Source organism: Homo sapiens, chromosome 1 (assembly GCF_000001405.40).
Source record: "Homo sapiens chromosome 1, GRCh38.p14 Primary Assembly".
Taxonomy (NCBI): Eukaryota; Metazoa; Chordata; class Mammalia; order Primates; family Hominidae; genus Homo; species Homo sapiens.
In genome coordinates, this window is record NC_000001.11 from 228,261,799 (window position 1) to 228,284,082 (window position 22,284).

Here is a 22,284-nt window from a genome sequence, read left to right on the forward strand (position 1 = left end):
TCTTATCAATATCAAGGCTCACTATCTTAAACTAAATATAGCACCCTGAATTCAGCAATTTATCAAGAGGATAACACACAATGACAAAAGTCATAGTCCAGTAATGCAAGGATGGTTTAACATGAGAAACATTAGAAAATCAGTACAAAATGTGACATTAACAGATTGAAAGAAAAACGAATGTGATTACTCCAATATGGAGACTAAAAGCATTGGATAAAATACAACATCATAAATATGCCAAAAATATTTGGAAAAATTTAGCATCAATTCATGTCATACAATTCTTAACAAACTCTAAATAAAAACATTTTTCCTTAATTTCATAAGCAATAGTATAAAGAAAACAAGCTAACATTACACAAACATGAAACCTTGAAAGCGTTGCCTTTGAGATTGGAAACAGAACAAGGACACCATCCATCACCACTTCTTCCAACATTGTATAGCAGACAGAGGAGGAAAAGAAAGTACAAGGTGGAAAACTTGGAAAATAAAACATGCACCTCACAGATGATATGGTTATTAATTTAGAAAGCCCCAAAAAAGTAATTATTAGTAAGAGATTTGGGAATGGTTACCACATAAAAGAATCAATATACAGAAAACATTTCTAGATCTATGTACCAGAAACAAGCAGATGGAAAATAATGTTTTAAGAGATTTCCAGTACCATCCAAAATCTTGTAGTTACCAACTGCAAGCCTAACAAAAGACCTTTAGATGGTTTGTGGGGGGAAATTATTAAACATTGTTGAGAGACAGTAAAAAATATCTCAATAAATGGTTAGAAAGCTGTAGGAGACCTGAAAGTGTAAATCCCAGTCAACCATAGTTCTGTTGGGTAAGAGAATGCTGACAAGCGCATAGCAAAGGCCAAGCTGCCCTTGAGGAATGCAGTGTGGGGGCCTTTGCTGTACCAGACAGCAGGGTGTCCTCTAAAGCAGCAGTGCTCCAGATACCTGGACCCAAAGGCAGGAAGAGATGAACAGATCAAAATATTTGAATACTGAGCTCAAAACAGCTTTGATGGAATCAGATTCCTCCTCCCTTTCTTTATTTTTTACCCTGGTGCTAGGAGGTGGTGTAGAGGAAGGGTGATCTTTTCACAAATGGTGCTAAGACGATTAACAGTTTACAAAAATAAAATAAAATTGGGTGTCTACCTCCCCATACAAGAAATCAACTCAATGTATGGGTAGTATAGCTCTTACCAGATAATATAGATAATATAGATTATCTGGTGACCTGTGGGTAATAGAAGATGTTTTGAACAGAACATGAATGCACTAGCCACACAGGATGAATGATATATTTGCCTGCAATAAAACTGATCACTTTATTTCATCAGAGGACCTTCATACAGGAGTGAAAGGGCAAGGCACGGAGATGGAGAAGATGTTTGTAACATACATAGCATTTAATTATATGAAGTTCCTAAAAATAAATATGTAAAAGACAGTGCTATTGAAAATTGGAGTTGGGCGTGGTGGCTCATGCCTGTAACCCAAACGCTTTGGGAGGCCAAGGCAGGAGGATTGCTTGAGCCCTGGAATTTGAGACCAGTCTGGGCAACATAGCAAGACCCTGCCTCTAGAAAATGAAAAATTAAAGAGCTAGGCATAGTGGTACATGCCTGTAGTCCCAAGCTCCTTGGGAGGTTGAGTTGGGAGGATGTCTTGAGCCTAAGGATTGAGCCTGCAGTGGGCTATGATCACACCAATGCACTCTAGCGTGGGCGACAGAGTGAGACCCTGTCTCAAAAAAAAAAAAAAAAAGAAAGAAAGAAAATTGGGCAAAACACTTTAATAGTGACATCACAGAAGAGTGAAGACTCCGTCCCCAAACCATCAGAAGGTGCCCAGCTTGACAGTCCTCCCGACAGGGACCCAGGAAGCCACAGGAGGCCCAGGCCCTCTCCGAAGAGGCCAGAGCTGACCCTCCTGACAGTGGCAGGAGCGGGAGTCTCAGACTCTGGGGCCCTGGGGTGAGGACGTGCCCTGCACAGTCCCCTGGGGAGACCCCGGCACATCCATGAGCGGAGATGTGCAGGTGTCAGGACCCCAGTCCCTGCCCTGGAGGATCTGTCATGGCGGCCCTGCCTGGGGCAGCCCTTGGTGCCGTGCGAAATGGAAGGAGAAACTGTGTTCCTTGTGCTGGGAGGTGGTGGGGCTTCTCCTGACCACACAGCCAGTGCAGAGCCTGAGGCTGGTGAAGGTTCTCTTGCTCCCTCCTCCCTGCCCAGGCCTTCTCTCCCCAGTGCTGCCTTCCTGACCTTGATGGTGGTGGTCACCCTATGCATCCCTGCCTTCCCCAGAGCCCAAGGCGGTGTTTGCCAAGGAGCAGCCAGCGAGCAGGGAGGTGCAGGCTGAGGCGGGGACCAGTGCCACGCTGAGCTGCGAGGTGGCCCAGGCCCAGACAGAGGTGACGTGGTACAAGGACGGGAAGAAACTGAGCTCCAGCTCGAAAGTGCGAATGGAGGCCGTGGGCTGCACACGGAGGCTGGTGGTGCAGGAGGCAGGCCAGGCGGACGCCGGGGAGTACAGCTGCAAGGCCGGGGATCAGCGGCTGTCCTTCCACCTGCACGTGGCAGGTCAGTGCTTTGGAGGTCCTGAGGAGCCTCTTCAGAGGTGATGGTGCTTCTGGCTCGTAGCCCCAGCATATCTCTGTGCACTTTCCTTCAGCCTTCATGTCTCGGGCTTCCCATCTTTCCACTCCCATTTCCATCCCTGTGGCTGGGCCAAGGGAGGGGTGTGCATGGGAGGGAGAGGGGCTGTTCCTGCAAACCCGGAGGCATGTTTGTACTTGGTAGTGCGCAGTCACACCTGCGGGGCACCTTCCTGGTTTTCTTAGTGTCCAAGGAGGCTCGCTGCCCCTGGCACTGGGGGTTGAGGTGGACCGGGTGTCTGTCACATGCACAGAGGTGAATGTGCTGTTGTTGAATGTCTGGTAGCTCCTGAGTCCTCACCCTATGGAGCATATGGCTCTTGCCAGGGGGAGGGGAGATGCCTCCATTTCATCCAACCAAGATCATGGGAGTTTTCAGTCACCGAATTGTCCTTGGAATTTTCCCAAAACTAAAATTTGGCTTATCATAGTTTTAGAGAAAGGGGAACACTCTTCCCTCTTCCCATATGTTACAAAATGTAGATCCCTGATTTGTTGTGATTGTGTGAATCGTAAGGAGTGGCGCCCCAGTGGAGATGTGCCTGCAGTGCATCCATGGGCTTAGAATACTATTTCTAAAACAAAGCATGTTTTCCTTTTGTCCTCAATTGGAGTATTTGGTGTCAGTGTTCTTGTAGTTTGATTTAGAAATGGAAAAGAATAAGTAGAGTAGGTGACACCACCACACTTCGTCAAAGGCGAGTTCCCTTCATAGCAGCCTCTGTTTGACATGTGTATTTACTTTATAGAATTTCCTAATGGTTACTGTGTTTGAGCCTCCATGGCTGCTTCATAGAGAAGTCTGAGAAACAAATTTATTTTCCTTTCATTAAGACAGTCTTACTGTCCAGTAACCCTGGCTGTAGGTACTACACTGACCTCTAGATGCCACCACATAACAGTTTGTTATTGCATCAGCATAGAGTGGTTTTGGGGGTGTATATACACCCAAAACCTCACTCTGTATTTTTGTCAAATTTTAAGAGAATATGACAAATTATTTTATAGAAATACATTTGTGGTAATAAATTTTATAGTAATAAATTTGAAAATATTGACAATTTGGCCAGTTCCTAGAAATATATCAAAAGTGACACAAAAATAAGTAGATAACTCTAGTAGTCCTAGAAACTTAAAAAAATGGAACCATGAAAACCATCTGCTCATAGCAAAAGATGTAAGCCTGGTGGCTCTAATTGCTAAATTATACTAAATATTTAGGAAAGAAATTATTCTATGTTCATACAGATTCTTCTACTAGGGAACAGAAAAGCAGATATACTCCCCAGATAGTCTTGTAGAAACATGATATAGCCTAGGGCAGTGGCTCATGCCTGTAATCCCAACACTTTGGGAGGCCAAGGTAGAAGGATCACTTGAGCTCAGGAGTTCGAGATCATCCTGGGCAACATAGCAAAACCCTGTCTCTAAAAAACAATTAAAAAATTAGCTGGGTGTTGTAGTGGGTGCCTGTAAGTCCTAGCTACTTGGGAGGCTGAGGTGGGAGGACTGCTTGAGCCCAGGAGGTTGAGGTTATAGTGAACTATGATGGCACCACTGCACTCCAGCTAGGTCAACAGATTGAGACTCTTGTCTCAAAAAAGAAAAAAAAAGAAAAATAAGAAATATAATATGGATATCAAAATATGACAAGGAATGTTAACAAGGATTAAAATTTTAGACCAATCTATTATGGATATCAAGGCAAAATATTAGCAACTGAATTTAGCTATCTATCAAGAGGATAAGACCCTCTAAGGAAGGATGTAGTCCCAGAATGCAAGGCTGGTTTAGTTTTAGAAACAAGTGCATCTATATAAAGGATGATGGAATTGGATGCAATGAAAAAATTATGTGATCTCAATAAATACAGAATACAATGTTTGATTAAATTTAATATTAAAGTTCAGAGGTAATATTTGATAAAATTCAGCATCAATTCATGCCATGAAATTCTTAACAAATTATAAAGTATCGTTCTTTAATCTGGTCAGTGGTACTGCAGAAAACACCAGGTAACTGCATATTTAAAGAGAACCTTGAAAGCTTTGCCTTTGAGATAGGAATCAGCACGTAGAAGCCAACCATCCCAACTTCCATTCAGCACTGTACAGCAGAGAAAGGAGGAAAAGAAAAGAAAAGGTATAACACTTGGAGAAAAACATAAGTGGGATTCACAGATTATATGAGTATCAATTCAGAAAATCCAAAAGATAGATAAATAATAAGATAAATAATAAGTTATAACAAATAATATGAGAGTTGAGAAACATCACATAGAAATTCAACATGCAGAATACACATATATATGTATGTATGTATATACGCATACACACACACACTAGCAACACAGTTGTAAAATGAAATTTTAAAAGATTTACAAGAGCGTGAAAAGCATCAAGTATAGTAAAGATGTCTGATACCTCAGTGGAGGAAAATTGTCAGATATTTTTGTTGTTGAGTCAGGATCTCACTCTGTCACCCAGAGTGGAGTTCAGTCGTGCAATCATGGCTCACTGCAGCCTCAACCTCCTGGGCTCAAGAGATCCTCCCACCTCGGCCTCCTGACTTGATGAGAATACAGGCGTGCACCACCATGCCTAGCTAATTTTTTAAGGAATTTTTTTGGTAGCGACAGGGTCTCACTATTTCGCCCAGGCTGGGCTCAAACTCCTGACCTCAAGCAATCCTCCCACCTCAGCCTCCCAAAGTGCTGGGATTACAGGTGTGAGCCACTGTGCCTGGCCATTGTGAAACATTTTTGACAGACAGTAAGAAGACCTAAATAAATAGAAACCCATGGAAGACTCAAATATGTTAATGCCCAGTCAAAACCCAAGCAAATGTTTCTCTTTGGGGAGGTGAACGTTGAGAAGCAGATTCTGAAGGCCAAGTGGAGTAACACACTCTTGAAGAGCCACTTGTGAGCATTTGTCTACCAGATATCAAGAACATTCAGCTGCAGGAATGGAGACAGCCAGGCACAACACAAGGACAGTTGTCAGACCAAAGGGACAGAATCGTGAGCTCATGATCAGACCCAAATACATGGATTCTCCCTTTTATTGCTTCTTGTTTTTTTTGTGTGTGTGTGTTTTGTGTGTTTTTTTTTTAACCTTCACACCTGCACAGGCAGTGGAGAAAGGATGATCTTCTAAAAAAAAAATAGTTCTTTGATTGTTTAACCTTACAAAAATTTAGACTAGTAACTTATTTCACACTGAAAAGTGAGTTCCAGGAAGGTTAGAGGCCACAGAGTATAAAAGGTAAAACCATAAAGCCTCTAGATGCTAACATAGATTGCTAAAAACTTCAGGGAAAGGAAAGATTTCTTAAAACTAAACAGTGGAACAATGGTATATTTAACTACATTAAAACTAAAACTTTAATTTGTCAAGACATCATTTGAGAGCGAAAAGGCCGGTCAAGGACATGGGTAAGATGTTTACAAATACACAGTTATCATTTGCTAGCATTTAAAATATATAAAGAGTTCCTAAAAATAAGGAAGGAAAAGACAGAAAAGGCTACTGAAAATTGGACAGAAGCCTGAAGAGCGACACCCCAGAAGAGCTGACGTAATGGCCAGAAGTGGTGGAAAGGGCTCCACCTTGCATGTCACCAGGCAATGCATGACAAAGCCCAGGCCTTCCCCGCAGAGGCCAACGCTGACCCTCCTGACAGTGGCAGGACTGGAAGCCTCAGTACTCTGGGGCCCTGCAGTGAGGACACGCCCTGCCCAGTCCCATGGGGAGACCCTAGCATATCCTTGAAGGGAGCTGTGTAAGCATTAGGAACCCAGTCCCTGCACTGGAGGAGCTCGTGCACGGAGGGTTTGTCACAACTGCCCCGCCTGGAATAGCCCATGGCACTGCACAGTGGATGGAGAAACTGTGATTCTTGTGCTGGGAGGTGGTGGGGCTTCTCCCAGCTACATGGCCAGTGCCAAGCTTGGGAAGGTTCTGTTTCTCCTACTTTCTTGTCTAGGCCCTCCTACCCTAGGGTGGTCTTCCTGACCTGGGCAGTATCTTTGACCTCGTGTGTCCCTCCTTGTCCATCCCCAGAGCCCAAGGTGGTGTTTGCCAAGGAGCAGCCAGCACACAGGGAGGTGCAGGCTGAGGCGGGGGCCAGTGCCACGCTGAGCTGCGAGGTGGCCCAGGCCCAGACAGAGGTGACGTGGTACAAGGATGGGAAGAAGCTGAGTTCCAGCTCGAAAGTGCGCGTGGAGGCCGTGGGCTGCACACGGAGGCTGGTGGTGCAGCAGGCGGGCCAGGCAGAGGCCGGGGAGTACAGCTGCGAGGCAGGGGGTCAGCAGCTCTCCTTCCGCCTGCAGGTGGCAGGTCAGTGCTTTGGGGATGCTGAGTGAGCCCTGTTTGTAGCTGCTGCTGTGACTGGAGTAGAACCACTGCTGACCCAGTGGGCTTTCCATTAGACTCCATCCCTCAACTTCTCCCATCCTCTCACCTCCTATTTTTATGCCTGTGGTGGAGCTGGGCTGCTTAGTGGGGAAGGGAGTGAACGGAAGGGTCAGGGCCCTCCTTGTCCATGTTGGGTGGTGTTTCTGTGCAGACATGCTGGGTCACATTTTCCCAGTACCTTCTCCAAACTACCGATGTCCCGAGGTGTCCAGGACTCTGGTCCTATCTAATGCATGAGATGGCGGTAAGCCAGACGTCCCTCCCTCGGGGATACTCCTGCAGTCCCTGCACGGCCTCATCTGGCCCCATGTGAGGGCTCTCCCTGTGGAAAGAGATTTTAATTCGTTGAGTCAGGGTGTAGGGAAATTCCAGCCACACAGTCTTATTTGGAATTATATCAACACTGAACACTGGGTTCCCAAAGTTTTCAGTGTTCTGGGACACACTTCTGTCCTTCCCTGTGGATGTAGAAGCCCTGTCAGAGCCCTGACTAAAACCCAGATCCACAGCGTTAGTGTGTGCAAAACGAGTAAAGAGCAGCACATTGGCAGGTGCGCACACGTGACGTTGGAATTCCATTTCGGAAGCCAATCTCACTTTCCTTTTGCATTCTGTTAGAATGTTCTGTGTCTGAATTCCCCTTGGAATTTGGATAGATTTAAAAGTGATAGGAATAAGTAGCTGGTGTTTCTAGCCTCCGCCTCCAGGCGGGTGAGGAGGTGACACCTGAGAATTCCTCCCTCTCACCCCTGACCCTGCCGGAAAGCGAAACTGAGATGCGGGCATTGGGCCCTGGGAAGCGTGGGGAAGGGGAAAGGAGAAAGCCAGGTGGGTTTTTAGGTCCCTTCCAGTGCCACACTGTGGGGTGTTGAGGGGCCGCGCGAGGCAGGCCCTTCCATGAGGCCTGGACTGGAGGCCTTCTCTAGGCGCCGGCGTGGCCTGGGCCGCCTGCCGCCACGCAGGGGCCGCACGCCTGGGCCCCAGGGCCCCTTTGCCGGCGGGAGGCCGGGGGGACCGACTGCTCTTGGCGCCCGGGGTCAGGGGAGGCCGGGAAACCTCGGCTCCCGGGCGACAGGCACCCAGGCCCTTCTCAGCCCCCCGGCCGCGGCCGCGCCGGGCCTCGCTTCAGCCGGGCGATTCTTCCCCTCATTTGTTGCATTGTTTGCATTAATATGAATATCTTGTTCTGTTTGTTTTGTCTCCTGAGAGCCAATAAAGCTGTGTTTTTTCTTTACACCAAAAAAAAAAAAAAAAAAAAAAAGGAATAAGTAGCTTATGGCACAGTGACACACTGGTAGAATTAAGTTATGGTGGTAGCAGTCGCTGACTGGGGAAGCCATATTTACATCATCCTGTTTCCTTGATGAGTCCTGTGCCTGCCCCCTCTCCAGCTGATTCATAGGAAGTCTGAGAATGACCTTTACTTTCCTATTGTTTGTTAGGAGAGTTTAACTTCAAACTCCAACCCTGAGCCCTGAGTGCCACCACATAACAGTTGGTGTTATATATATCTAAAATGGTTTACAAATGTGTAGATACCAAAAATACTCACTGCAAGTAAATTTGAAAAGTGTTAACAAATTATATAATTTCTAGAAACCAAAAACAGACTTAAGAAATAGATAACCTATATGCAGTTATCTACTGTTACTGAAGTTATCTCAGTTACTACAACCTAGTAAAAACTAGAACCGGTAGCGAAAAATCTTCTCATCAAACATGTGGCCCTACTGAGAAATTCTTCCAAACGTTCTGGCCAGAAATTCTTCCATGTTCATGGAAATTCTTCTGGAGAATGGAAAAAGGAAGATATACCCTCTAACTCATTATATGCAGATAGCTTAATGCCATGACTAAAATCTGGCCAGAAGATAGGAAGTTTGCACATTGTAGATCAAAGAATTATGGATATCATGGCCAATTTTTTAAACAAAACATTAGTAAACTGAATTCAGCAATACATCAAGACAATCATACAGGATGATGAAATTCATAGTCTAGGAATGAGGGCTGCTTTCATGTTAAAAACATTAGAAAATCATGATATGTGATTGAAATTTGAAAACAATGTAATTATCTTAAACTCAGAATAAAGTACCATATTTGATAAAAATTTAACCTCATATATTCAGAAGAAATGTCTGGCAAAATTTAGCATCCATCATGCCATAAAATTCTTAACAAAGTATAAATAAAAGTTTTTTTTTCCTAATTTGACACAGGGTATTACACAAAAATCACAAAGGGAGACTTTGTAAGCTTTGCCTCTGAGCCAGGGGACAGCATGAGGAAGCCAGTGGTCAACACTTCCATCCAGCATTGGATGGCACAGTTAGGAGGAAAGTAAAACGAAAGGTGTAAAAGTTAGAAAAAAGTGAATTGACAGAATATACGGTTTACCTAGAAGATAAATTATTAGAGAGTTGAGAAAGATCAACCCTTGCAAGATCTGTGTGAAGAAACTTCCGTACATGTAGACTAGCAGCAAGCAGTTGGAAAATGAAAACGTAAAAGATTGACAGACGCCTCAAAGGCATCATGTTTATGATCCCAGTCTAATAAAAGATGTCGAGAGGTTCTGTGGGGGAAGCTATGAAACACTTTTGAGAGACAGTAAAGATCTAAAGTGGATAGAAGCCATGGAAGAATGAAAGACGTTCAGTCTCAATCAAAATCCAAACAAATGTGGTTTTGGGGGATGCAAGGTTGAAAAATGACAAGTGGATTTAAAGCTCCATACATGCTTGAAGAAGAGCCGCATGTGCAGGTACCCTAGTCCCTGCCCTGGAGGAGCTCATGCATGGAGGGTTTGTCATAGCTGCCCCACCTGTGATAGCCCATGGCGCCGTGCACAGTGGATAGACAAACTGTGATTCTTGCGCTGGGAGGTGGCAGGACTTCTCCTGGCCACGCAGCCAGTGCAGAGCCTGGGGAAGGTTCTGTTTCTCCTACTTCCTCATCCAGGCCCTCCTATCCTAGGGTGGTCTTCCTGACCTAGGCTGTATCTTTGACCTCGTATGTCCTTCCTTGTCCATCCCCAGAGCCCAAGGCGGTGTTTGCCAAGGAGCAGGTGGTGTTTGCCAAGGATCAGCCGGTGCACAGGGAGGTGCAGGCTGAGGCAGGGACCAGCACCATGCTGAGCTGCGAGGTGGCCCAAGCCCAGACGGAGGTTATGTGGTACAAGGACGGGAAGAAGCTGAGCTCCAGCTCGAAAATGCGTGTGGAGGCCGTGGGCTGCACACGGAGGCTGGTGGTGCAGGAGGCAGGCCAGGCGGACGCCGGGGAGTACAGCTGCGAGGCTGGGGGCCAGCGGCTCTCCTTCCATCTGCATGTGGCTGGTGGGTGCCAGGGTTAGGCAAAATGGAGGTGATGCTGAGTGTCGGGTGTGAAACTACAAGGGCATGTTTGGGCGGCCCAAGGTGCTGTGGGCCCTGGCACCTTCCCTCTATGTAGGCCTCAGAATCTGTGTCCCCAGCTCTCCCCAGCAGCTCTCAGGCCAGTGTCCTTATGTCATGAGACTAGAGCAGGCCCATGGGCTGAGTTGACCATGGTGTGTGCCCTGCAGTGGCTGAGCCGGGGGTGGTAGGGACAGTAGCATGATGTCCTTGGGGTGTGGGTCTGGGGTCTGGGTCCGGTCTCATGTGAGGACCCCTGTCTGGGTGGTAGGGACAGTAGCGTGATGTCCTCGGGGGTCTGGGGTCCGGGTCTGGTCAGATGTGATGATTTCTGTCTGGGTGGTGGGGACAGTGGTGTGATGTCCTTGGGGTGGGGGTCTGGGTCTGGTCTAATGTGATCTGCTGACTCCTCTGTGGGTGCTGGGCCATGGGAGGGCCCGGCAGTGACTGGAGAGCGTGTACTGGGTGGTGGGGGCTTGTCTCTGTGCTCTGGGCCCTAGATCTCTGTAAGCCTGTGCTGGGCCCCTTGGTCATCACCATGTGTCCACCTGTCTTTCTGATATCCATCTCCCTTCCACCCTGTCCCTGAGCTGGGGACAACAGACCACACTCAGCTTGGCACCCTCTTTCCAATGGCCCTGCCAACACTCCGCTGCCTCTGGGCTGGCCCAGGTTGCTGGTCCATCTCTCCTGACCCTTCACGTCCTACTGCCTGTGGCCCTGCGTGGTGGGGAGGGCTGGCGACAGGTGAGGGCCCCAGGGCCCTGGAAGACCGAGGCAGGGAAGGGGCCGCATCCTGTTCCCAAGGGACATGATGATGGTGCTGCCAACATGCAGCCTTAGACCTTTGGCTCTGGTAGTGCCGGGGGGAGCTCTGTGCGTCACCGTGCACTGCTTAATGATGGACAGCCCTGCCTGGCTGTCACTGGGCTGACACATGGGCTGTGTCTGCTCTGGAGCCTCTGACCCTGCATCCCTCCTTGTCCATCCCAGAGCCCAAGGTGGTGTTTGCCAAGGAGCAGCCGGCATGCAGGGAGGTGCAGGCGGAGGCGGGGGCCAGTGCCACGCTGAGCTGTGAGGTGGCCCAGGGCCAGATGGAGGTGACATGGTACAAGGACGGGAAGAAGCTGAGCTCCAGCTCAAAAGTGCACATGGAGGCCAGCGGCTACACACGGAGGCTGGTAGTGCAGCAGGCGGGCCAGGCGGATGCTGGGGAGTACAGCTGTGAGGCGGGGGGCCAACGGCTGTCCTTCCGCCTGCACGTGGCAGGTCAGTGCTTTGGGTGAATCCACCTCGCCTGAAGCTGATGGCCACACTGTATGGTCCCTGGGATTCTGGATGGTAGTTGATGGTGCTCAGGACTGCACTGGGCCATCCTTGAAGAGCAATGGGTATCAGGGGTGCCAGGTAGCATTAGGGTGGCCCTGAAGGGAGCGGGGCCGGTCCAGGGATGACAGGGTCCCCCTCTCATGCCAACTCACCTCTACCCAGAGCTGGAGCCCCAAATTTCAGAGAGACCCTGCCGCAGGGAGCCTCTGGTGGTCAAGGAGCATGAAGACATCATCCTGACCGCCACACTGGCCACACCCTCTGCGGCCACGGTGACCTGGCTCAAGGATGGTGTGGAGATTCGCCGCAGCAAGCGGCATGAGACAGCCAGCCAGGGGGACACCCACACCCTGACCGTGCATGGCGCCCAGGTTCTGGACAGCGCCATCTACAGCTGCCGTGTGGGCGCAGAGGGGCAGGACTTCCCAGTGCAGGTGGAAGGTGAGCCGGGCATGGGGCGTGGGGCGGGGACTCCTCCAGACACCTCTGTCCCAGAGCTGGACAGGGGCGAAGCTGGGGCTCAAGTCTGGTCTGTTAAGAGCCCGGCTGATGTCCCCTTTGTGCCCACAGAGGTGGCCGCCAAGTTCTGCCGGCTGCTGGAGCCTGTGTGCGGCGAGCTGGGTGGCACGGTGACACTGGCCTGCGAGCTAAGCCCAGCGTGTGCAGAGGTGGTGTGGCGCTGCGGCAACACGCAGCTTCGGGTGGGCAAGCGCTTCCAGATGGTGGCCGAGGGGCCCGTGCGCTCACTCACTGTGTTGGGGCTGCGCGCAGAGGACGCAGGGGAGTACGTGTGTGAGAGCCGTGATGACCACACCAGTGCGCAGCTCACCGTCAGTGGTATGTAAGGGGTCGAGTGTCCCTATCCAGGGCAGCCTCCTGGAGGAGGCGGCCTTTGGTACTCCTGCAGCGTAAGGGCTCTGCCAGTCCTGTGCGCCCGCCTCTTAAGCAGTGCTCCTGTCTGCAGTGCCCCGAGTGGTGAAGTTTATGTCTGGGCTGAGCACCGTGGTCGCAGAGGAGGGCGGCGAGGCCACCTTCCAGTGCGTGGTGTCCCCCAGTGATGTGGCAGTCGTGTGGTTCCGGGACGGTGCCCTGCTTCAGCCCAGCGAGAAGTTTGCCATATCACAGAGTGGCGCCAGCCACAGCCTGACCATCTCAGACCTGGTGCTGGAGGACGCGGGCCAGATCACCGTGGAGGCTGAGGGCGCCTCATCCTCTGCTGCCCTGAGGGTCCGAGGTGAGTGTGGGGGGCAGCAGGATTTGCCTGGCTGGCCAGGGCTCCTTGCACAGGCACCTCCCCTGTGGGCTGGTTCTGAGTGGGCACCTGGAACTGCTGTCCTGTTACGGCTGGTCCGGCTGACCTCAGGAGACACGGGGTGTGTGGGCTGCAGAGAGGAGACTCCGGTAGGCTGGATGGGCCAGGTGCCTTCTCTTGGTATAGAGAAGATACAATCCTGCAGTTGCACCTGGTGGGGAATGGGGGGAGGCTGAGGCAATCCAGGGAGGCTTTCTGGAGTAGGTGGGTGCATACTTAGCCTGATGGATGGCAGGGAAGAGAGAGTGGGGTTAGCACCAGTGCAAGCAGTGACATGGGCTTCCCATGCTGCTGAAGCCAGAAGCCAGAACTTGCCCTGAAGGGAAGTGGGAGTCATGGCAGGTTCTAGAGTAAGGGAGTGATGCAGCAGATTCACCTTCTGCGGAGTTGACGGGTGGCCTGAGGCAGAGAGGCCCGCCAGCGCCTCTTCCTTAACCTGCGCAGGAGTCCTGGGCTTTGCTAAACCGCCGTTGCGCCTGGGGAAGCTCTGTCTTCCCCCCTCTGCAGTTCCTGCCAGTGCTACTAGTGGGGATCACGTCTAGGATTTCGAGGCACAAGGGCCTGGCGTCTTGTTCAGAGCAGGGGAGCTGGAGGTGGGAGCGGGGCTTAAGGAAGCTTCCTGGTTTCCTCGCTTAAAGTCGCACCCGGGAGGGTGCGCAGCTGCGGCCCGCGTGTGGCCAGGGCCGCGCTGTTTGGATTGGGATCCCGGGGCGCGGTGCCGGCAGCTCTGCCTGGGCCCGGCTCAGGGCAGGCGCCGGGGCTGTGCGGGCCCTCTGTACCTTGGCTTGTCCGTGGAGGAGGGCGAGGGCCGCCGTGACCTCCCCTCTCCTGCGACCCCAGAGGCGCCTGTGCTGTTCAAAAAGAAGCTGGAGCCGCAGACGGTGGAGGAGCGGAGCTCGGTGACCCTGGAGGTGGAGCTGACGCGGCCGTGGCCGGAGCTGAGGTGGACACGGAACGCGACGGCCCTGGCGCCGGGAAAGAACGTGGAGATCCACGCCGAGGGCGCCCGCCACCGCCTGGTTCTGCACAACGTAGGTTTTGCCGACCGTGGCTTCTTTGGCTGCGAGACGCCGGATGACAAGACACAGGCCAAACTCACCGTGGAGAGTGAGCCGCGGGCGGGAAGGGCGGGGCATCGAGGAGGAGTGAGGAGGGAGGCGGGGCATTGAGGATTAGTGAGGACGTAGGCGGGGTGCTGAGGGGAGGAGGGAGGAGGGGCACTGAGGAAGAGGGAGCGGAAAAGAGAGGAGGGAGGTGGGGCGCTGAGGGGAAGAGAGAGGAGGGAGGTGGGGCACTGAGGGGAGGAGGGAGGAGCGAGGTGGGACACTGAGGGGAGTGGCGGGCCCTCTGGAAGGGCCGTAGGGTTGGGAGAGGGGCAGGTCTCCCGCCCGAGGGGCGAGCGGTGGGGGTAGGCGTGGGGCGGCTTCCCGGCCCTCCCCGAGCTCCTGGGGAAGCCGGCTGTGCCCCAGGGTTCTAAAGGCGGTGGTCTCAGAGCAGCGGCTGACCCGTGACACCGCGTGTGCACCGCAGTGCGCCAGGTACGGCTCGTACGGGGCCTGCAGGCAGTGGAGGCACGGGAGCAGGGCACGGCTACCATGGAGGTGCAGCTGTCGCATGCGGACGTGGATGGCAGCTGGACTCGTGACGGTCTGCGGTTCCAGCAGGGGCCCACGTGCCACCTGGCTGTGCGGGGCCCCATGCACACCCTCACACTCTCGGGGCTGCGGCCAGAGGATAGTGGCCTTATGGTCTTCAAGGCCGAAGGAGTGCACACGTCGGCGCGGCTCGTGGTCACCGGTGCGTTGGGGGGCCGGCAGGGCACAGCACAGAGCACGCCTGCCTGTCCCGAGGGGGCCCCGGGAAGGTCGGTGGGTTCTCTGGGGACCTAGATGAGCCAGCTCCGTATAACTCCGTCCAGCTGGGGCACTGCCCCACCCCTGTCCCTGTCCCCATCCTGAAGGCTTCTCCAAGCCCTTTTTCTCTTCCCACCTCCTCCTTCCTCCTCCCCAGAGCTTCCCGTGAGCTTCAGCCGCCCGCTGCAGGACGTGGTGACCACTGAGAAGGAGAAGGTTACCCTGGAGTGCGAGCTGTCGCGTCCTAATGTGGATGTGCGCTGGCTGAAGGTGCCTCCCTGCCGACCCCACTCGGTTGCCTCCTCCCCTCCTCTCATGTGGGCGGGCCCAAGCAGAACCCCAGGGCTGGACCACCTGAGTGCCTGACTCGGCCTCTGCCCTGCACAGGACGGTGTGGAGCTGCGGGCAGGCAAGACGATGGCCATCGCAGCCCAGGGCGCCTGCAGGAGCCTCACCATTTACCGGTGCGAGTTCGCGGATCAGGGAGTGTATGTGTGTGATGCCCATGATGCCCAGAGCTCTGCCTCCGTGAAGGTACAAGGTGAGGGCTGCGTGGGGCATGTGGGGCATGGCAGGTATGGGCACCTCCTCCTGTCCTCCGTGTCCCCCAGCCAGGGGCTTGGCAGCTCTACTTTCACCTGCACAACCCTTGGCATGCTGGGGCACTGGGTGGGGGGTGCTGGGAGCAGCTCTGTGTGTCCGGGTGTGGCAGGGCCTCCCTTGCCACCCTAGGCCGCAACATCCAGATCGTGAGGCCCCTGGAGGATGTGGAAGTGATGGAGAAGGACGGTGCCACCTTCTCCTGTGAGGTCTCCCACGACGAAGTGCCTGGCCAGTGGTTCTGGGAGGGCAGTAAACTGCGGCCCACTGACAACGTGCGCATCCGCCAGGAAGGTTCGAGGACAGGCGGCTGTAGCAGGCACGGCCCGGCCCCCAGGTCTTCCTCTGCCCCCGCCCATACTGAGCCGCCTTTGTCCCCAGGAAGGACATACACTCTCATCTACCGGAGAGTCCTGGCGGAAGATGCAGGAGAGATCCAATTTGTAGCCGAAAATGCAGAATCGCGAGCCCAGCTCCGAGTGAAGGGTGAGGTGGGGGCTGAGGGGAGGGCGGGGCTGGACGGTGTGCATGTGTGGCCAGCTGGCTCAGCACAGGCCCGGACGCCCCAGGCCTGCTCTCAGGACGAGGACAGCAGGGACTCAGGAGGGAAGGGGGCGTCACCTCCTTGGCAGGAAGATAGGGGCCAGAGAAGCGGCCATGAGGGGCTTCTCCCTTCCTTAAAACAGATCCTGAAGAATTCTCCCTCGGGCTGCAGCGAGTGCTGGAGAGGCCAGGCATGAGGTCCTGTGGGGGAGGCATGGCAGGGGCGGGGGGTTCTACCTGGTGGCAGCGAGGAGGAGGATCAGGGAAAGTGGTGCTGGGGTGGCAGGGAGGGAGGCTCTGCAGACAGGTGGGGTGGGGATGGGCCAGTAGGGCTAATCAGAGGTATGCGGGGAGGGACATGAGTTCCTGGGACTGAGCTAGGGTATGTGGTTATGGTTCGGAAGTGGGGGTTTGGGGAGAGGACTGCAGGGGGTGGGGCTACATGGGGCAGGACCTACCCTGCTCTTGGTGGGCCGGGACAGCGGGTAGGACCTGGGCAGTGGAAGTGGGAGTGTGGGATATGGGAGGGCAGGGCGGGCAGAGGTGGGCGCACTCCCCTTGCTTGTGGTCTGCTCTGTGGAGCAGGTCCTAGCACAGCTCCAAGGGGGACACTTGGCCTGACCACCTGCTGGCCCCTGGCGGGCAGACATGGGCTGTTGGGGCCTAGTGGGGTCCAACTGAGGGCCCAAGACCCTCAGTGCCTTGTCGGAGCCTGGGCCTGGGAGCCTGGAGCACCATCTCTGATCCACCCCATGCCCCCACCACGTTCACAGAGCTGCCAGTGACCCTCGTGCGCCCGCTGCGGGACAAGATTGCCATGGAGAAGCACCGCGGTGTGCTGGAGTGTCAGGTGTCCCGGGCCAGCGCCCAGGTGCGGTGGTTCAAGGGCAGTCAGGAGCTGCAGCCCGGGCCCAAGTACGAGCTGGTCAGTGATGGCCTCTACCGCAAGCTGATCATCAGTGATGTCCACGCAGAGGACGAGGACACCTACACCTGTGACGCCGGTGATGTCAAGACCAGTGCACAGTTCTTCGTGGAAGGTGCAGGCAGGGAGGGCAGCTCTGCAGGTTGCTTTTGTTGGGGGGAGTCTCCCAGGTCCATGGTTTGCCCTACACTCCTGGAGACGCTGGGTCTGGGCAGCTCAGGAGGATGCTAGCATGCATCTAGCAGGGCGGGGGCTTGTTCCCAGGAAGGAACCCTGCCGGAGGGGCAGCATGTCCTATCCGCGGGATCCGCCAGCGACTGCTCCTCCCCAACAGAGCAATCCATCACCATTGTGCGGGGTCTGCAGGACGTGACAGTGATGGAGCCCGCTCCTGCCTGGTTTGAGTGTGAGACCTCCATCCCCTCAGTGCGGCCACCTAAGTGGCTCCTGGGGAAGACGGTGTTGCAGGCTGGGGGGAACGTGGGCCTGGAGCAGGAGGGCACGGTGCACCGGCTGATGCTGCGGCGGACCTGCTCCACCATGACCGGGCCCGTGCACTTCACCGTTGGCAAGTCGCGCTCCTCTGCCCGCCTGGTGGTCTCAGGTGAGCACTCCCGCCCCGGTGGGTGGACGTGGGGCAGAGCCACAAGAGGACAAGGTTCAGGGCTGTTGGGAGGCCTGGACAGGGCTGTGGGTGGGTACAGGGCAGGGCCATGGGAGGAGAAGGCTCAGGGCAGTGACAACACAGTTCAGGGCCACAGATGGATATCAATTAGGGCCAGGGGAGGACACAGTTCAGGACTGCAGAGGACACAGCTCAGGGCCAGGGGAAGACATAGTTCAGGGAATGGTGGACACAGCTCAGGGCCAGGGGCGGACACAGTTCAAGGCCATAGGTGAGCAGGCTCAGGGCTTGGCAGGCAGGGCAGGGTGATTGGTTCCTGTGGTGCCGTGGCCCAGCCTCTCCCCACTCCCTGCAGACATCCCCGTAGTCCTCACACGGCCGTTGGAGCCCAAGACAGGGCGTGAGCTGCAGTCAGTGGTCCTGTCCTGCGACTTCCGGCCAGCCCCCAAGGCTGTGCAGTGGTACAAGGATGACACGCCCCTGTCTCCCTCTGAGAAGTTTAAGATGAGCCTGGAGGGTCAGATGGCTGAGCTGCGCATCCTCCGGCTCATGCCTGCTGATGCTGGTGTCTACCGGTGCCAGGCGGGCAGTGCCCACAGCAGCACTGAGGTCACTGTGGAAGGTGGGGCATGAGGGGCATGGGGCTACTGAGAGGGTTTTGGGGAGGGGTTGCCTGGTGATGTGGACACTGAGGCCCGGTGTGTCTCTTGCAGCGCGGGAGGTGACAGTGACAGGGCCGCTACAGGATGCAGAGGCCACGGAGGAGGGCTGGGCCAGCTTCTCCTGTGAGCTGTCCCACGAGGATGAGGAGGTCGAGTGGTCGCTCAACGGGATGCCCCTGTACAACGACAGCTTCCATGAGATCTCACACAAGGGCCGGCGCCACACGCTGGTACTGAAGAGCATCCAGCGGGCTGATGCGGGCATAGTACGCGCCTCCTCCCTGAAGGTGTCGACCTCTGCCCGCCTGGAGGTCCGAGGTGAGTCATCCCACGAGTCTTCGGGACTCCCCACTAGGAATGGGACAGGCGCTGGCCTCCCTCACCCTCCTATCCCTCCTGCAGTGAAGCCGGTGGTGTTCCTGAAGGCGCTGGATGACCTGTCCGCAGAGGAGCGCGGCACCCTGGCCCTGCAGTGTGAAGTCTCTGACCCCGAGGCCCATGTGGTGTGGCGCAAAGATGGCGTGCAGCTGGGCCCCAGTGACAAGTATGACTTCCTGCACACGGCGGGCACGCGGGGGCTCGTGGTGCATGACGTGAGCCCTGAAGACGCCGGCCTGTACACCTGCCACGTGGGCTCCGAGGAGACCCGGGCCCGGGTCCGCGTGCACGGTGTGTGGCTGCAGGCACGGCAGAGCTCAGGGAAGGGAGGCGTGCTGGGTGGGCATGGATGTGGGGCCAGCCACTACCTGGGTGGCCCACATCATTCTCTGAGATTGAAGGGCTGCTCTGCTGAGCCGGGGAGGTCAGGGGAGCCTTCTGGGGGAGCCATGGCTTGATGTGGTCCTGTGAGGCCTGGGTGCAAGCAGGTGGACCCGGGGACAGTGGGTCCCGGAGCCAGAAATTGTCCCCGGAGCCAGGGTTGGAGGCTGTGCTGTCCCTGCCCGCTGGTCCCGACGACATAGCCTGGGGATGTTGCCCTGTACCAGGGGACGTGTCTGCATGGAAGTCATCAGGCCACTGTGGGGACACCAGTGGGGATAGCCAGGGAGAAGCCGAGATGCCAGGCAGGGGCTGTGAGTAGGCCACGTCTCTGTCCTTCACGGGGCCCCAGCAAGGCCCTAAGGCCACTGGGCTGGCAGGGTAGAGCCATCCCTGAACCCAGCCCTGCAGCCTTGGGGGCGTGCGTGCCCTGGAACCTGTCCTGCTTTTCAGGGGAAGTTCCCTCAACTGCAGGGTGGCTACCTGGCCCCCTCTGTGTGTGTGCCCGGTCCCAGTGGCATCCTGGTGTGGGTGACAGGTGGTGTAACCAGCCTGTTTGCTGGTCCTTGACAGTCTTGTAACGAGATGGGAAGGGGCAGGAGGCATGGTGAGTTTGTCCTGGAGCTGGGACTAGCCTGCCTGGAGGCCCCTCATCCGGGGTCCTGTGCCTCCTCTCCTCCCTGTGATGACCATGGGTTCTCCCTCTCCCTGCCACACTGATTGGATCAGAGCTGTTGGTTATGCAGATGCCAGGGGCAGCCAGCTCCAGCAGAGGGGCATCTACTCATTGGCTGGTGCAATGTGGCACCCTGTCCCCCAGGGCCTGGCCTCTCCCAGGGTCTGGCACCTCCCAGGGTTTGGTCCCTGTGGGGTCTGGTCCCTCTAAGGAATCCAGCTCCTCCTGGCGTCTGGTCCCTGTGGGCTCTGATCCCTCCTAGGGTCTGGTCCCTTGGGCTCTGATCCCTCCCAGGGTCTGGCCCTTCCTAGGTCTGGCCCAGGGCAGTGCTGTCCTCTTGCCTGGCCTGACAGTCTCTGATGGCCCGCAGATCTGCACGTGGGCATCACCAAGAGGCTGAAGACAATGGAGGTGCTGGAAGGGGAAAGCTGCAGCTTTGAGTGCGTCCTGTCCCACGAGAGTGCCAGCGACCCGGCCATGTGGACAGTCGGTGGGAAGACAGTGGGCAGCTCCAGCCGCTTCCAGGCCACACGTCAGGGCCGAAAATACATCCTGGTGGTCCGGGAGGCTGCACCAAGTGATGCCGGGGAGGTGGTCTTCTCTGTGCGGGGCCTCACCTCCAAGGCCTCACTCATTGTCAGAGGTAGGCAGGGCCTGCCGGACGGGGGCTTATCACCTGGGCTGAGGAGTGGGGACCCTGGGCCTGTCCCCAGGAGTCCAGGAGCTGGGCCCCCCTGGCTACAGAAGCTGGTGGGGGGGGCTTTTGGGGCCTGCCTCCCCCAGCTGCTGCAGAGCACCCCTTCTAGAAGCCGCAGGGCCTGAGTCACCTGCTGGATGCTGGGGGCGGTTCTCGAGTGGAATTGGGGTTGCACTCTTTTCTGAGCTCTGATATAGGCCTGGATTCTTTTCCAATCCGTGGTCTGAGTGCCCTGAGCACTTGGTAGCTCCCAGAGCTGTGACTCACAGGGCCAGTCTGGCAGCACTGGCCTGAGGCCCCAGCCACCTGCTCTGCTGACATCACCGCCAGCGCCCGAGTTCGCGCCCCTGACGAGCACACTTGGTGCAGCTCGGTGGGGCACACTCAGAGGATGCCAGTGTGGGCCTGAAAGATGCCAGGGGATAAAATTCTGTAGTTTTTGATCTTCCTGCCTCCCAAGTCCCACCGTGGTGACAGTGGGGACACTAACATTCCAGGACTCTGAAGCTCCTGAGGGCCGAGGTCCCAGAGTTTGGGGGTTGCAGGTTCTATTGTCTTGGTCACCAGAGAGTGAATGTTGTCAAACGCTTGTCCTTGCCCCAATCCTGGTCATGGTGGAGGTGGTAGGTTTTGGCTGGGTCTGTGCCTGGGGCTATGGCTGTAGCCCAGATGGTGGCTGGGGCTGTGGCTGCAGTCATCTGTGGCTGGTGCCGTGGCCCTGGCTGTGCTTCAAGGGCAGCTGTCCCTGCTCCCTTCAGAGAGGCCGGCCGCCATCATCAAGCCCCTGGAAGACCAGTGGGTGGCGCCAGGGGAGGACGTGGAGCTGCGCTGTGAGCTGTCACGGGCGGGAACGCCCGTGCACTGGCTGAAGGACAGGAAGGCCATCCGCAAGAGCCAGAAGTATGATGTGGTCTGCGAGGGCACGATGGCCATGCTGGTCATCCGCGGGGCCTCGCTCAAGGACGCGGGCGAGTACACGTGTGAGGTGGAGGCTTCCAAGAGCACAGCCAGCCTCCATGTGGAAGGTAAATGCCGCAGGAGCCCCACGCGTGGCCCTGGAGTGGCCTCTCTGCCCTAGCGGGGCACGGGGCCACCCCTGGAGCCTGAGCTGCTCTGTCTCAGGTGGAAGGGCTCAACTCAGGTCCCAGAGCTTCTGCAGCCGGGCCTGGAAGATAACGGGGCCGGCCTGGGGTCTGTGCAGGCCTCACGCCCCACCTATTCTGCCTCCATCTCCCTGCCCCAGAAAAAGCAAACTGCTTCACAGAGGAGCTGACCAATCTGCAGGTGGAGGAGAAAGGCACAGCTGTGTTCACGTGCAAGACGGAGCACCCCGCGGCCACAGTGACCTGGCGCAAGGGCCTCTTGGAGCTACGGGCCTCAGGGAAGCACCAGCCCAGCCAGGAGGGCCTGACCCTGCGGCTCACCATCAGTGCCCTGGAGAAGGCAGACAGCGACACCTATACCTGCGACATTGGCCAGGCCCAGTCCCGGGCCCAGCTCCTAGTGCAAGGTGAGGCGGCCAAGTGTGCTCGGGCCTAGGCTTTGAATGGCACGGAGACTTGGAGGTGGACAGGCCCAGCCTCAGTTTCTTATCATGAGGGTATAGGGGGTGCACCCTGGGTGGTCACTGAGGCTCCCCAGCATGGCTGTGAATGAGCTGCTGGTGCTCACTTACTCGTGTGTTTATTTGGTCACTGTGTGTTTCTCCCACATGCCCCGTGTGCCTGGCCCCCATGCGTAAGCTCAGCGTGTATCCGTACATAAAACGTGTCACCCTTATCCCAGAGGGACAGCCTGACTCAGCCGTGCCAGGCAGCCTCAGG

At 55.3% G+C, this 22,284-nt stretch overlaps 1 protein-coding gene and 1 long non-coding RNA gene across 5 annotated transcripts in view; one reads left to right on the forward strand and one right to left on the reverse strand.

Moving 5' to 3' along the window:
- Positions 1–22,284, forward strand: part of OBSCN (obscurin, cytoskeletal calmodulin and titin-interacting RhoGEF) — a 170,833-nt gene that overhangs the window by 53,755 nt on the left and 94,794 nt on the right. For 2 of the 4 annotated variants that reach the window (NM_001386125.1, NM_001271223.3), the window contains exons 18-38: positions 2,318–2,593; positions 6,732–7,007; positions 10,127–10,423; positions 11,474–11,749; positions 11,972–12,250; positions 12,380–12,646; positions 12,774–13,043; positions 13,962–14,228; positions 14,652–14,918; positions 15,132–15,244; positions 15,362–15,515; positions 15,707–15,868; positions 15,956–16,060; positions 16,891–17,157; positions 17,377–17,646; positions 18,023–18,289; positions 18,381–18,647; positions 18,732–18,998; positions 20,135–20,407; positions 21,220–21,486; positions 21,705–21,971. In NM_001386125.1, the coding sequence (NP_001373054.1) occupies positions 2,318–2,593; positions 6,732–7,007; positions 10,127–10,423; positions 11,474–11,749; positions 11,972–12,250; positions 12,380–12,646; positions 12,774–13,043; positions 13,962–14,228; positions 14,652–14,918; positions 15,132–15,244; positions 15,362–15,515; positions 15,707–15,868; positions 15,956–16,060; positions 16,891–17,157; positions 17,377–17,646; positions 18,023–18,289; positions 18,381–18,647; positions 18,732–18,998; positions 20,135–20,407; positions 21,220–21,486; positions 21,705–21,971 (5,154 nt within the window). The remainder of the gene's footprint in view (positions 1–2,317; positions 2,594–6,731; positions 7,008–10,126; positions 10,424–11,473; positions 11,750–11,971; positions 12,251–12,379; positions 12,647–12,773; positions 13,044–13,961; positions 14,229–14,651; positions 14,919–15,131; positions 15,245–15,361; positions 15,516–15,706; positions 15,869–15,955; positions 16,061–16,890; positions 17,158–17,376; positions 17,647–18,022; positions 18,290–18,380; positions 18,648–18,731; positions 18,999–20,134; positions 20,408–21,219; positions 21,487–21,704; positions 21,972–22,284) is intronic. The other 2 variants (NM_052843.4, NM_001098623.2) reach the window with 1 other exon arrangement.
- LOC124904535 (uncharacterized) lies at positions 4,543–14,230 on the reverse strand. The gene is made up of 3 exons (XR_007066916.1): positions 13,901–14,230; positions 11,962–13,272; positions 4,543–7,407 (listed from the first exon to the last, which is right to left on the reverse strand). It is a non-coding gene; the product is annotated as an uncharacterized LOC124904535 (long non-coding RNA).